The 15,294-nt window shown below is 44.2% G+C and overlaps 1 protein-coding gene and 1 pseudogene across 9 annotated transcripts in view, besides 2 other annotated features; one reads left to right on the top strand and one right to left on the bottom strand.

Annotated features, from left to right (window-relative positions):
• SAXO1 (stabilizer of axonemal microtubules 1) overlaps nucleotides 1-15,294 on the top strand; it is a 121,690-nt gene that overhangs the window by 13,360 nt on the left and 93,036 nt on the right. For 5 of the 9 annotated variants that reach the window (NM_001287050.2, NM_153707.4, XM_011517744.2 and 2 more), the window contains exon 1: nucleotides 2,771-3,109. The exons of the other annotated variants lie outside the window; for them this stretch is intronic. In NM_001287050.2, the coding sequence (NP_001273979.1) occupies nucleotides 3,072-3,109 (38 nt within the window). In that variant the 5' untranslated portion in view covers nucleotides 2,771-3,071. Of the gene's footprint in view, nucleotides 1-2,770; nucleotides 3,110-15,294 lie in introns of those variants that run through there. 9 annotated transcript variants of the gene reach the window in all.
• Nucleotides 2,342-2,895: an enhancer, noted in NCBI's record as "H3K27ac-H3K4me1 hESC enhancer chr9:19033083-19033636 (GRCh37/hg19 assembly coordinates)". NCBI's record gives its function as "activates a minimal SCP1, AML or CMV promoter by ChIP-STARR-seq in primed H9 embryonic stem cells {active_cell/tissue: H9 hESC(primed)}" and the evidence as "EXISTENCE:reporter gene assay evidence [ECO:0000049][PMID:30033119]".
• Nucleotides 2,896-3,449: an enhancer, noted in NCBI's record as "H3K27ac-H3K4me1 hESC enhancer chr9:19032529-19033082 (GRCh37/hg19 assembly coordinates)". NCBI's record gives its function as "activates a minimal SCP1, AML or CMV promoter by ChIP-STARR-seq in primed H9 embryonic stem cells {active_cell/tissue: H9 hESC(primed)}" and the evidence as "EXISTENCE:reporter gene assay evidence [ECO:0000049][PMID:30033119]".
• PSMC3P1 (proteasome 26S subunit, ATPase 3 pseudogene 1) lies at nucleotides 7,789-9,093 on the bottom strand (annotated as a pseudogene).

The following is a 15,294-nucleotide window of genomic DNA, read 5'->3' as shown; positions in this document are numbered from 1 at the left end:
TTTTCTTTTCTATTGCATTGTCAGGATGCAAATTTTCCAAACTTTTGTGCTCTGCTTCCCTTATAAAACTGAATGCCTTTAACAGCACCCAAGTCACCTGTTAAATGCTTTGCTGCTTAGAAGTTTCGTCTGCCAGATACCCTAAATCATCTCCCTCAAGTTCAAACTTCCATAGATCTCTAGGACAGGGCAAAATGCCACCAGTCTCTTTGCTAAAACATAACAAGAATCACCTTGGATTCCATTCCCAACAAGTTCCTCATCTCTATCTGAGACCACCTCAGCCTGGACTTTATTGTCCATATCGCTATCAGCATTTTGGGCAAAGCCATTCAACAAGTCTCTAGGAAGTTCCAAATTTTCTCACATTTTCCTGTCTTCTTCGGAGCCCTCCAAACTGTTCCAACCTCTGCCTATTACCCAGTTCCAAAGTTGCTTCCTCATTTTTGGGTAACTTTTCAGCAGCATCCCACTCTGCTGGTACCAATTTACTGTATTAGTCCATTTTCATGCTGCTGATAAAGACATATCTGAGACTGGGAAGATAAAGCAGTTTAATTGGACTTACAGTTCCACATGGCTGGGGAGGTCTCAGAATCATGGTGGGAGGTGAAAGACCCTTCCTACATGGCGGGTGGCAAGAGAGAAAAATGAAGATAAAACCGTCAGATCTCATGAGACTTATTCTCTATCATAAGAGCAGTATGGGGGAAACCGCCCCCATGATTCAAATTATCTCCCACTGGGTCCCTCCCACAACATGTGGGAATTATGGGAGTACAATTCAAGATTAGATTTGGGTGGGGACACAGAACCAAACCATATCAGATGGGTCAGGGTAAGTTTGGCTGGATGTAACAAAAGATGGACAGTAAGTGTAACTAGGTGAGGGGAGGTTGTCCCTACTGTCTAGCACTGATCTTTAGGTATATCATTGTTGAGGCTATTTTGTCCACACCATCTTCATCTTTCAAGATCTCTACCCTCTATTGAGGGCATGGATGGAGGAAGTGGGGAGTACCATGATTGTTGACAAGGTGGCCACCCACAAGGGCAGTTTGAATGGCAGGGGGCATGAACAGGCATTCTTCTGCTGAAAGATTTATGGATAATGTTTAGGCAGCCATCAAGAGAAGGCTGGTGTCCAGCACTGTATTTCCTCTGTAAGGACTGTGTGATGTTCTCTGTCAATGGCAATGGATGGCATGCAGGTTTTGCTTTGACTTCCAATAGCTCCCACCTCTTTTTTGTCTGGCCATGTTTCCATCCTCCCCTGTAGAGTTCTGACTTCCTACTGGGAAGGCAAGGAGCAGCTTCCCACCCCACTGTTCTTAAGAATGATCAATAAGCTTTGCTCCTGTCTGAATCTACCTTGCTGACTTCCTATAACTGGGGTTGGAACTCTCTCTCTGTAAAATGTCAGATAGTGAATATTTTAGCTTTTGTGGGCCAAGAGGCAAAATCGGGAATGTTTACACAAATTTTTTGAAAAAATTCAAAACTTTATTCACAGACACTGAAATTTGAATTTTAGGTAAGTTTCATTTGTCATGTAATATTATTATTTTAATTTTTTCAACCATTAAAAAATATGAAAACCATTCTTAGCTCAATGGCCAGATAGAGTCAAGTGGCCAACTGCAGACAATAGTTTGCTGACCTCTATTCTAGAGCCTATTACTGAAGGAAAAAACCTAACCCCCCCCACACAAAAAGAAACCCTCTGAATATTAAGTGTCTTGCAGTCCAAGATGCCTCTGACTGACTCATTCACTAAAATGAATGGAAAGAGTTAGGAAGCATAGGAAAGAAAAGCATAAAGATTGTCAATACTTTAAGCTCCCATTTCCCATAAGCAGGAAGTCAAAATGTTTTAAGTCCAAACAACTGGCCAGAGCAGTGTCTTTTGAACTTGCTTCATGACCAGAATCACCTGGCTTCTTGTTGAAGCTAGATTCCCGGACTAGAGGTTTTGATGCAAGGGAGACTTCTGGGTGGGGGTGTGCTCTCGGGATCAGGTAAGCTGAAGAAACACTATTCCAGGGGGTGTAAAGGAACCTCAAAAGCTGTAGTTCTTAAAGTGTGGTCCGTGGCCCAGCAGAACCAGCATTACCTGAGAGCTTGTAAGAAATGCAAGTCTTTGGCCTACCCTAGAAACACTGAATCAGAAACTGGGGGTGGGGTCTGGCAATCTGGTTTTCATCAAGCCAGGTGGTCCTGATGCCAACTAGAATTTGAGAACGCCTGCTTCAAGGCATCATTACCAGCATCTGGAGAAGTGATTGAGAACCCACCTGAGCAGTGAAGGCCTGGGCGCTCTTAAACCACTGTGTTCTCAAGAGCGCAGGTCTGTGGGTGAGAGCAATTCTAACAGACATCTGAAGCCAAAGGCCTAGGTTTCCACAGGAAGATCTGGAAACCCTGTTCAAGGCAAGCCTTTTGGAAGTCAAGGCTGTATTCCCCTAAGAGGGGGCACCATGGATCCTAGAGATAGCAAATGCCACCCAAGGTGATGGTGAGGGAGTTTTCAGCTTTTCTGCACGTGTGACCGTTTACTGCACCAGGAGCTTTCTAGTGACTTCCACCTTTTTCAGGTTTTTCCAAGGTTCACCGGGGAACCCCTGTCCTGGGCCTGCCAGTGAGGTGCTGGGAGCTTCCCGACCTCACAAGCGGCTCTTGTGATGTAATTGCCACCTGAGGCGTGCCCCTCCTGGCCCTGGCGACATCACAGAGGCTACCTGGGCACGGACCCCGCAGCTTCCTGGGGCCCAGTCAGCCGCTCCAGGTGCTTAAGTCTGGACTGCGGAGGCCGGGGCGGTGGCGTGCAGGGTGAGGTCTCCCGGGCTGGCGCGCGTGCAAGCCCCCTGCTGCTACCTCGCGCTAGGCCAGCTCCAGGAGGGCAACAGACGACAGGACATTGCAAAAGGGCCACTTAAATTTTCCTTCGAGTAAACAGAACACCTGCCAAGACCCTCGAGCCTGGGCGTGCCCCAAGACAGGTGGTTGGGGTCTAGGAGTCGGCTGCAGCTGGCGATGCTCTGAGGGGACGTCAGGGCCTCAGGATCGCCCCTATGAAGACGAAGTGCATCTGTGAACTGTGCTCCTGCGGGTAAGGTGGCCACGCCCAGGGCAAGGCTGGGGGAGCCTGGGTTTTCAGACTCCCGAGGAAGGGAAGCCTCCCCCAGCTGCTTCATCAGGCGGCATCACGGTGGGTTCGTCCACTTGCTACGTTTTTTAAGCCACAATTGTGTCAACTAGCGTTGTGCCCGCGGACGCCACATCAGTTCTGGCGAATGTGGCTGTTTTCGGGCCTTCTGTGCCGCTTCACTTGAGAACTGCAGGAGGGTTGAAAATGGGCGTGACCGCGCAGTCTGCACTCCCTTCCCTGAAGCCCAGAAAGTGTCAGCCAAGGAGGGAGAACACCTGGCCCAGTGGGACCAGTCTTGCTCCTTTTGGGAAAGTGATAGGATGGGAGGAGAATTCCTGTAGTATAACTGAATTTCTCATTCAGAGAGATTGTTACTTTGTCAGAGAAGTATAAGGTATTAGTAAAACTTGTTCCACATTGTGTAGAGTTGAATAAGGATAATGAAAACATTACTTTCACAGTCGCCTGGCCTGCCAGGTCTCCCTTCTAACCTTTAAGGACCATCTTTGGGTGGAAGCGCAGTAAAGGTGGTCCTGGGGGAAATCATGGACTTTAGTCAGAGTCCCACGGGCTGACTGGTCTGCTGTCACTCACATGATCTCTTAGAGGCTCCTTCTATCTGCTTCCCAGGGCAGCTGGGTTTCTGCTTGGCTGGGGCAGGGAGTGGGCAGCAGAGGAGCAACAGGCAAGAGGGTTCTGAGGTCACCTTTCCTGGGCTGTCATTAATTGTGGGATCTTAGATTGGTAACTAAACTCCAGGTCATAGTCGCCTCATCTGTACCAACAATACGTACCTCATAGGACTATTGTAAGAGTTAAGATCATGTATGTGAGTCCTGGTACATGGATTGTGCTTAATATGTTAGTGTCCTGAAATCTGAAAAAAGGGCAAATATGACACATGCATATAAAAATGGTATCAGTAGTGTGGAGAATTAAAGGGCACTCTAAAAACTGGATCAGCAACCTTCTATATCTCTGGCATCAATAAATGGTTCCCAACTCTGGCTGCTGATTAGAATCACACAGGGAGTTTGAAAACTATCAGTTGCTCAGGCCGTTGAATTGATACTCTCAGAGTGGGCCCTGTCAACTGTCTAAAGGTGATTCTGGCCATTTGCTAGGACTGGGACTCACTGAACTAGATCATGTACAAACGTGGGTCTTGCTTTTGAGCTTTGTTAAGTGGGGCCAGAGCAGTGTATAGTCTAGGACTACATGTTACCAAGCAAAACCTTTTTTTCTAAGGCCGCCTTTCTTTTTTCTTTTTGGAGGCAGTGTCTTGCTCTGTTGCGCAGGCTGGAGTGCAGTGGTGCCATCTCGCTTCACTGCAACCTATGCCTCAGGGTTCAAGTGATTCTCCTGCCTCAGCCTCCTGAGTAGATGGGATTACAGGCACATGCCACCATGCCTGGCTAATTTTTGTATTTTTAGTAGAGACAGGGTTTCAACCATGTTGTCCAGGCTGGTTTTGAACTCCTGATCTCAGGTGATCGCCTGCCTCGGCCTCCCAAAGTGCTGGGATTACAGGCATGAGCCACTAAGGCCTTCTTTCTACTGGGATGCTTTACATTACCCTCCTGTGTCCTCCTGCATTGTTCTAGGCATTGGGATTGAATGTATAAGACATAGTCTCCATCTTTGCACAGCGTGCAGTCTAGGTAGGAAGGCAGAATGCTCATTAAGAGGTGCAGAGCATATATAGTGAGAAGTCTCCCTCCTGCCCCTGCAGTAGGGTTATGACTCATTTGGGTGTTCCTTCTCTGACTCTGTTCTCATTCTGTCCCTGCAAAGGAGTCACTTTCCATTGGAAGCAGAGTCTGTTCTTGTGTCTCTTCTCCTTTTCTTCTCTCCTCATCCTGTATTTTCTCCTCCATTTTATGGTTTCAGCCAATAGTTTCTCCTGTCTTCTGAATTCCAGTTTCATTTTCATCTTCTCAAAGTGCTTTGGTGATCCATCTGTCTCATTAATCTCAACTTCAACAACCTTCAAACATTATTCTGGTATCTGCCCCATTCATGGTGCCAGCAATCTTCCATTCACCCTGGGTGAAAATTTTGAATCATCTCTTACTCTCCCTCAAACAGAACATTGAATCTTTTTCTTCTTCTTATTTTTTTATTTTTTTTATTTTTTTGAGATGGAGTCTTACTCTGTCGTGCAGTGGCGCGATCTCTGCTCACTGCAACCTCCGCCTGCTGGGTTCAAACGATTCTCCTGCCCCAGCCTCCCAAGTAGCTGGGATTACAGGTACCCACCACCATGCTGGGCTAATTTTTGCATTTTTAGTAGAGATGGGGTTTCACCATGTTGGCCAGCTGGTCTTAAACTCCTGACCTCAAATGATCCACCTACCTTGGCCTCCAAAAGTGTTGGGATTACAGGCGTGAGCCACCGAGCCTGGCACATTGACTCTTTTCTAAAGTCTGGGTCCCTCCTCCATTGTAATCTTTCTTTAATTGGTCCCTTCCCTTTTATTCCGGTTACAACCTCCCTGGTTCTCTCATTTTTGTGTTTGGAAACTGGTCCTAAATTACCTTCCTAGTTTTTTTTTCTCCCATGATTCCCTTACATGAAACTACACCTTGAATTGGATCAGGTTTCTTGGCATCCCCTGAGTGGACCTGCTGATGTCCCTTTTCTGATCCTTATCCTTTCCCTTTCTCTAAAATACCTATGTTCCCTCCTCCTGCTGGACTTGTAAGGCCCGGTTTCACTTGCAAGTTCCCTGTTAACCCAGCCCTGTGGCTCCCCATCAAAGAAAAACCCCGCTCCGTGTTCTCATCCTCTATGCATCAGCATGCTTTATATCCTCGATTAATTATATGTACGCTGGGAAAACAGATATTTTCTATTTTTGTGTGTGCACTGTATCATAGCAACACAGTTTTCTTTATTAACAGCTAACACATATCTTTTTGAATGAATGGATGGCGTTTTTTGTTTGTCAAGGTCATAACATGCTGGACTGGGTTAGGAATGTAAGATTTAGAGATGTACTGTCCAGTATGGTAGCCAGCTGTGGCAATTTCATTTAAATAAATGAAAGTTAAATAAAACTAAAAATTCAGTTTCTCAGCTGCACAAGCCACATGTCAAGTGCTCAGTAGCTACTCGAGTATAGTCACTCCCATACCGGCACATGCAGATAGGGAGTGTTTCCATCACTGCGGAAAGTTCTGTTGGACAACACTGATCTTGAGTCTCATTATTTGGAAGTCTTGATCTCTCCCACCCCAATTAAATCCCTCCCACCCCAATTAAATCTGCTCAGTGACCGGTTGGGATGGAGCGAGGAATTTTATAGGTGTTTTCTAAGCTGTGGAAGTCTATATTTGGCTTTTCCAGTCTGAGGTCATGGGAAAAAGCAATGGGAAATCTGGAAGACAAGCATGCATGAAGAAGTCAGAGACAGCGCCCTTGAGTGGGAGGGGGAGACCGGGGTTCCTGAGTGAGTCACTGGTTCTCTCTGGGCTTCAGTTCCCCCATTTTTTAATCCTGGAGATTTGTGGAGACCCTCAGGGCTGCCAGGGAGGGAGAGAGGCACATTTATTCCCCCTTCTCTCTCACATTCTCTTCTTCCGAAGTTTTTCTTGAGCAAATAATTCTTTAATGTCCTTTCAACTTTAACTTTTGAGGACATTGTACTTGTTGGCGAGTGGGCTCTGGAGATGCTCAGAGGCCTGGATAAAAAGGTGTCCATCTGCAGGAGCAGCTGCCCACAGCTGCTGAGGAAAAGCCACCAATGGGTGACTCTCTTGGAGCAAGTTCTTATATTTGGCCACAAGATGGCAGACGTTTCCTGATCAATTCTCACTGCGGGTTAAACCAAATCAGCCTGAATGGAAAAGCAAAACCTTTGGAGTTCTGGATTTTATTTTATTTTTAAATAGATTTATCTTTAGTTTTCTAAAATGAGCAATTAGAGTTTAGGGTCCAGCAGAGCTCAGGAAAGTGGTACGCCTTTCAGAGTAGATGGCAGATTACGAAGTGAAAAGTGTTTCAAATGTCTAAATTTAAAGATTCCAATCACTTGTAAAACTTTTCAGTGAGCTTTGCTGGGCTAAAAAAAAAATCAGACATATTTTACTGCGTCAAGCTCAAGGCTTTGCCTCCACAACAATGCTCTACTTCTTTCCTTGAAGATCAAAATCTTGCAATTGGAATTATTACCATAGAATGTCATAATATTCTCTTTTCAACATAATCAGCACCAAAAAAGCAGAGTATTGTGGTTTGCAGAAACAGTAAGGTCAGCATCTAAATTTTTTTTGAAACTAATGTACCACTTAATTATCTTGACTTAAGAAGCTACATGGTGGGGGAGTGCTTTGAATAGAGTAACTCTAATTTTGTATATGAGAGTATAATGTTTCCAATTGCATCTGATTATCTCCAGCATTTCCTGTTATTGAAAAAATGCTACTCCGAAGAGTTTTATTTTTTATTTTTTTTGAGACGGAGTCTCGCTCTGTTGCCCAGGCTGGAGTGCAATGGCGCGATCTTGGCTTATTGCAACCTCCGCCTCCCGGGCTCAAGCGATTCTCCTGCCTCAGCCTCCCGAGCAGCTGGGATTACAGGCGCCCGCCACTACGGCCGGCTAATTTTTGTATTTTTTTTGTTTTGTTTTATTTTGCCTCTAAACCATCTTTTATTGCGCACTTCAGCCGCGAGTCCGGGGCTGGCCTGCCGTGCCCTAGGCGTAGTACTGTAGGTTGGCTTTCTTCTTGGCCTGGACCTCCAGGATGCCTTCCATGTAGTCCTCGTGGGTGAGCTCCGTGGCACCCCTGCGCAGTGCGATCATACCCGCCTCCACAGACACAGCCTTGCACTGGGCCCCGTTGAAGTCATCTGTGCAGCGGGTCAGCTCCCTCGCAGTTCACGTCAGGACTGACGTTCATCTTTTGGGAGTGGATCTGCATGATTCTGGCCCAGGCACTCGATCTTGCGGTCCAGGCCGCCCTAGCGTAGCAGGGCGGGGTCCAGGATGTCCACCCGGTTTGTGACTGCAATTACCTTAACTTGGGTGTTGGGCTGGAAGCCATCCAGCTGGTTCAGAAGCTCCAGCATCGTCCTCTGCACCTCTCGGTCCCCGGACTTCTCGCTGTCAAAGTGCTTGGTGCCTATGGCATCCAGCTCATCAGTGAAGATGATGGAGGGCGCTTTCTCCTTGGCCAGGGCGAAGGCATCCCGGACTAGCTTGGCACCATCTCCAGTGAACATCTGCACCAGCTGGGGGCCAGTCAGCTTTAGGAAGGTGGCCTTAGTCTGTGCCCTACAGGCCCAGGCCAGGAGGGTCTTCTCCGTCCCTGGGGGCCAGCACCCCTTTTGGATGTTGGATCCGCAAGTTCTCAAACTTCTCCTTGTGGTTCATTGACAAGACAGTGGCCTCCACCAGTTCCTGGATCTGCTTGTCCAAGCCCCCAGTGTCACTGTATTGCTCCGTGGGTCTCTCATCCACCTCTGTGGCCTTCACCCGCGAGTCGTACTCTGGGCAGTGTCTCCAGGATTGGATAGGAGTCTTTGTTCACACCCACCAGGTCTCCTGGCTTTAGCTTTTCAACATCCACCAATCCAATCACAGGTAGGAAGTATGTCTGTCGTGTAGAGGTTTTGATCACAGCACACTTGTCCTTCCTCTGGGAGTCCAGGTCAATATTTGGACCATCCTCCTCTTGATCATTGGGATCAACATCCAGGAGCTCGATGATGTTGGAGACAAGGTACACCAGGGTTTTGTTCACATTGATTTTCTCACTGTTCTCTTTGATCTTGTCCTTCATGGCTTGGAGCTCATGGGTGACTCTCAACAGTTAACTCTTCATGATCTTGATCTCACTGTCCAGAAGCCATGTGCGCTGGATGATCTCCTCCGTGGACATGTTGAGCACCTCCACCCCAGTTCCATCTTGCTTGGCCTCATCCCACACGGTTGCCATCTTCTTTTCTAGTTTTTGAATTTTTAGTAGAGATGGGGTTTCACCATGTTGGCCAGGCTGGTCTTGAACTCCTGACCTTGTGATCCACCCACCTCAGCCTCCCAAAGTGCTCAGACTACAGGTGTGAGCTACCACGCCCGGCCCAGCATTTTATAATATTAAACCACCTTCCATCTTTACAGTATTTTGAAAATTCAAAAAGTATTTTCCCATATATTATTATCTTACTGTGGGTCCCTCAACATGGGAAGCATTGCTTAGTTTGGAAATTCGATTCCTTGATTTTAGCCTCTCTTTTCCCTGGCGATGTTTTCAGTCTATTGAGCTGTTCTTTCCCAGATGACTAAATTTGAAACTGTGGTTAGGTGGGGGAGTGGGTGGCGCAAGGCAGGGTTGCTGTAAAGTAAAACGTTAATCAGACTTTTAAAGCTGAAAGGGATCTTAGTGGTCTCTAGCTCTTTTATTTTACAGATAAGGAAATAGAAACATTGAGATTAATTTTAATATATGGGAACATGTTAAGCTTCAGGCACAATTTAGGTCAATCAATTAAATTTTATTCATATTTTACTGGGTATCAGACACTGCTAGGTGTTAAAATTTATAGTCTGGTCTATTTTCGAGTCACACTGGACCATTTAAAAAATTGATACATAATGATTGTACATATTTCTGGGGTACAAGTGACATTTTGATATATTCATATAACATGTAACAATCAAATTAGGGTAATTAGCATATCTATCACTTCACACATTGATCATTTATTTGTATTGGGAAGCTTACAAATAATCTTCTAGCTATTTTGAAATATATGGCAAATTATAACTATAGTCACCCTACTGTATTATCAAACACTGTAATTTATTTCTTCTATCCAACTTATTTTTGTATCCATTAACCAACTTAATTAGTTCCCCCAACTCCCACAATGGGCCATTTTTGATTGTAGAGTACAATATGAAGGCTCTGGTCCAACTGAGAAAATAGTATCTGATATAAAAAAAAAAGTGTAATTCTAAAAGCCTTTTAGTAAAGTAATATAAATAGCAAATCTCCCTCCTGAGATTAAAATGTAGTAACACTACTTTTTCTAAAATTCTTGTAAAAAATTGTTAATGAAGGGATTGATATAGCTTACTTTTATATCTGATTATTTTACAGCTTACAGTGCACCATTTTAAAGATTTTGTGCAATCTTGCAGGAAATTCCAGGACTGGTTAATGTATCATGAAATATTTATGAAGCATTGGTAGTATGTGCAGCATTTCATAAAAAAGGTAGTCCCATAGAGGACTCAAAAATTGCTGAAAAGGATGTGGATTTGGCCCTTTCACAGAGCTTGTGGAGGAAGGTGATCTCAGGGGCAGCCATGTATCTGCAACTTAAATCAGTTATGTTAACCAGGGAGGAACTTGTTATTTTAATTTTGGAAAATATTTTCTTCATATCGATGGAAATTTCCTTAACCTTAGATTTTATTTTCTTAGAGTCTCTGTTACACATTAAGAGGAAGGAAAAAAAATTGAGGACTTGGTTTCATATTACATGTTTTAAGAAGAATTCTTATTTTTAATTTAAATAAAATTGACTTCATAAATTCTGATTAAGGAAAAAAAACACAAAGAACAGCCTTTAACAGATACTTGCTGATGACTTATCTTTAGCAGAATCCAGATAGAGATGCCAAGAAAAAAAAGAAAAACTTTCACGTTAAGATTGAATTTTTATTGTAGATTTCATGTACTTTTCATGTTAAGCTATGTTATGCTCCTTAAAAATGGCCTTTTTTGGATATCAGAATTAATGTTTAATTGTTCATAAATACCTTTCATCTTATAAAATGAGTACAAGTGGGTATATGTCAAATTTCAGATATTATTAGAGTACAACTTCATATTCCAATTACAGCAGTAAACATGATCTATTCGACCTTATAGTCTGCAGATGGATCCGTTCAGAGTAACATGTTCTGATTCTGTTCTGTAGTGGGCAGTTTTAAACGTCATTCCCTCCATTGATATTAAAATATTTATTACTGACCTTCAGGTGATTTATAGTTTATTTGGAAAGATGACATGTCTCGGGATGGGTGGTGGAGGGGTGGAAACAGCTACCCTTAGATGAATGAGACCAATAAAACAAGTGATGTAGGATGTGAGGGGTGGGAGAGGCGCTTTGGGATGGGGTAGCCGGGGAAGGCTTTAGGATGGAGAAGTGATGAGGAAAGTGAAGCTGGAGTGAGACTGCCTGGTTTCAAATGCTGGCTCTGCCACTTTTTTTTAAATTTTATTATTATTATACTTTAAGTTTTAGGGTACATGTGCACAACGTGCAGGTTAGTTACATATCTATACATGTGCCATGTTGGTGTGCTGCACCCATTAACTCGTCATTTAGCATTAGGTATATCTCCTAATGCTATCCCTCCCCCCCTCGCCCCACCCCACAACTGTCCCCGGTGTGTGATGTTCCCCTTCCTGTGTCCATGTGTTCTCATTGTTCAGTTCCCACCTATGAGTGAGAACATGCGGTGTTTGGTTTTTTGTCCTTGCGATATTCTTAAGGTTGGTGTGAGGATTAGGCGGGAGAGGAGCACAGGCCCTGGAGGAAAGGGTATGTTGGGGTTTAGTGCGGCTGCCCTTGCTGCAGGGCAGGGCAGTCAGAGAGACACGGAAGACATCATGTCTGCCTGAGTACTTGAGCCTGCAGGAGATCGTGCCGGAAGCTTGCTGGAGGCAAATTGCAGAGGGACTCTTACATGTCTCAGAATGTGAACTCGCCAGCAAAGAGCCATGGATGGATTTTGAGCTGGAGAGTAACATAGATAAATAGTCTTTTCCCCCGCAAAAAAAAAAAAAAAAAAAAAAAAAAAAAAGCCTTAAAGAGTAGCATTTCTTCTTCTTTTTTAAAATATAGAGATGAGGTGTCACTATGTTGCCTAGGTTAGTCTCAAACTCCTGGGCTCAAGCAATCTTCCCACCTCGGACTCCCAAAGTGCTGGTGTGAGGAGCTACTGTGCCTGGCCCCCTTTGTTCGTTCCTTCGTTCCTTTCCTCCCTTTCCTTCCTTTCTTTCCTTTCCTTGCTTTCCTCCCTCCCTTCCTTCCTTCTTTCTTCTTCAGAAATGCCCAATATCTGAATTAGGCTGACTTTAAATCTGTTAATGTTTTGGTTTTTCTGAGTGGATTTGTAGTTTGCTAATATTTCCTTAAAGATATATTATCTCCATTCCATTCTTGTCACTTTTCTTAACTTGATTTAACACATGATTAAGTGATGATTGACTACGAGAAGTGGCAGAGTATTGCAGTTCCAAGCGCAGACTGTGGAGCCAGCCTATCTTGGTTCAAATCCCAGCCTTTCTGCTCCCTAACTGTGTCATGTTAAACCATTTCACAGTGAAGTTTCTATTTCTGTGTACCTCAGCGTTCTCATCAGTAAAAGGGAGATAGAACCTGACTCAACAGAGTTATTGAGAGGATTGAATCAGTATTAAGCAAGTAGAACAATGCGTGCATCCACAGTAAGGCATAGGTAGATGTTATTAAATAAGCATAAAGGTCTGTTCTAGGCAATGAAGAATGAAGAAGTGTACTTGCCTGAGCACTTGAGTCTGAGTGGGAGATCCTGCCAGCAGCTCTGTGGAGCTCGCACCCTAGAGAAGAGAGTTAGGATTGTTTACTAACTTGCATGTAATAAAAAATGCCCTGCAGAGAATTAACTCCGGTGGGGCGGGGGGGTGGGGGGGGATGTAATCTGGTGTTTGGGGGGCTTGATTAAATATTGATGATAAGAATGGTTTGCAAAGACTTCATCTACTCCTTATACTCTGGGAGGCTCTCTGCCCTTTCTGGGATGCCTACACTTGAGTCCAGCATTTATTAGGCTTTGTGAGTTCATACTGACATTAACAAACACTAAGGTTAAGTTGCTGTTCAGTTTTGAACTTTGCAAGTCTTCAAAACAATGACTCTGGGGATTAAAGACGTACTCCCTGCATAGCATACCCTACTATTCTGTTTTATTGTCTTTACCAGCTTGTTCAAAGTAACTTTGAAGTTTCTCTGGTTGTTTCTCTAAAAGGAAAGAAAAATGTTTCTAAATGGCTGTCAAATTAGCTGCTAAGCAAAATATATCCTTATATTTTAAATATCTAGACTATCCAAAAGCCCTTCATTCTAATGTTAACAAATTGGGGTTGTAATGTAAAAAATCAGTTAAGTTTCTCCCAGTGCTGGTCAATAACTTAACTTTTAGAAACTACCCATTATGAGTAACTATTTTTAAAAATCACTATCTTTCCCCATAATGGTCCAATTTCTCTTTCAAGTATGATGCATTTCAAGTCTTCTGCAAATGAAAAAAACTCTACATACAATCTGTGAACAACAGCTCCAAATGAAGAGCAGAGTCAATTGAATACCCTGTTCTTTATCTTGCTTCACATGGGAGGGCAGTGAGTAATATTAGGGGAAGAACATGCTATTGTGTCTGGAATTGGTTCCTTCTGGTGGATTCTTGGTCTCACTCACTTCAAGAATGAAGCCGCAGACTCTCGCAGTGAATGTTACAGTTCTTACAGATGGTGTGTCCAGAGTTTGTTCCTTCAGATGTTCAGATGTGTCCAGAGTTTCTTCCTTCCAGTGGGTTGGTGATCTCTCTGACTTAAGGAGTGGAGCTGCAGACCTTTGCAGTGAGTGTTACAGCTCTTAAAGGTGGCGCCTCCGGAGTTGTTCGTTTCTCCCCGTGGGTTCGTGGTCTTGCTGATTTCAGGAATGAAGCCACAGAAACTCACACTGAGTGTTACAGCTCATAAAGATAGTGCGGACCCAAGGAGTGAGCAGCAGCAAGATTTATTGTGAAGAGCAAAAGAACAAAGCTTCCACAATGGGGAAGGGGACCCGACCCAGTTGCCACTGCTGAGCAGGTTGCCCTTGCTGGCTTGGGTGGCCAGCTTTTATTTCCTTACTGGGCCCTGCCCACATCCTTCTGATTGGTCCATTTTACAGAGTGTTGATTGGTCCATTTTACAGAGTGCTGATTGGTCCATTTTACAGAGTGCTGATTGGTGCGTTTACAATGCTTTAGCTAGACACAGATTGCTGACTGGTGCAGTTTTACAGAGTGCTGATTGGTGCATTTGCAATCCTTTAGCTAGACACAAAAGTTCTCCAAGTACCCACCTGACCCAGAAGCTCAGCTGGCTTCACCTCTCACTATGACTGTTGGGATTGCAGTCCTGGATTTAATTACTTACAAGCTTTGTGAACTTGTTCAGGTCCTTGAATATCTCTAGACTGTCAAAAATCAGTGATCCTCAGACAGTGGGATTCCCATCATCTATAGCGGTGTTTTTTCAGGTCCAGAGAACTTCCATGTCAGGGCCCAGAAGGTGTCTGCAGAGGTCTTCTACAGCCTCTGCTGGCGACCTCAAGAGAAGTCAGGGAAAAGGGGACATGGGGCACAGACCTGAAGGTGGACAGATGTTTTCCTGAGTTCATCAAAAGTATTTAATGGCTAGTTGGGAGTATGTGTCTTTCTCGGACCTTATGGCTCTTGCGGTGTCTGATCTGTTTTCTTCTGGGTACTCTGACTTCCTCTGCACGTTGGCTGTCTGTGGCTACCCCAGCCCTAGCTTCATACCACTTCTCATTTCAGAGAACTAAAGAGTTTAATGTGCTGTTTCCAAATTCCACAGAAAAGAGCTCCTGGTTGGGTCCAGCCTGTGACAGGTGGCTCTTCTGGCATGAGGCTGTCTCCTGTGGTCTAATCAGCTGAGCATCAGGAGGGGTGAGGTCACATAGAACAAACTGGGCAGCTAGAGGAGAGCAGTTTTAGGTAATAAAGATGTAGTTTGGAAGAAAATAATTAAGAGGAAACAATTGGCCTTGCAACAATTCTTGCCAAGATAATCTTGTGGATAAAGCTAGTGAAAGATGGGTTGGATGACAATATTAGGTTAGGTGGATTCCCAGGTCATTGAACAAGCAGGCCAGAAGAGTTTCAACAGATGGCTTTTTACCTGCTTAAAACAATGTCACCATTGTTAGTGATACTGGAACAATATCCCCATGCCCTAGAACTCTATTGTTAGCTTTGTCATGTTCAACATTTTTAATCAAAACTTGGATGAAGACACAGAAGACATCCTTATCAAGTGTGCTGAGAACACAAAGTGAGAAGAACATAGCAAGCATAATAGAT

This window comes from Homo sapiens, chromosome 9, assembly GCF_000001405.40.
Source record: "Homo sapiens chromosome 9, GRCh38.p14 Primary Assembly".
Classification (NCBI taxonomy): Eukaryota; Metazoa; Chordata; class Mammalia; order Primates; family Hominidae; genus Homo; species Homo sapiens.
The sequence above is the reverse complement of the archived record's forward strand: the minus strand, read 5'-3'. Positions and strand labels throughout refer to the sequence as shown.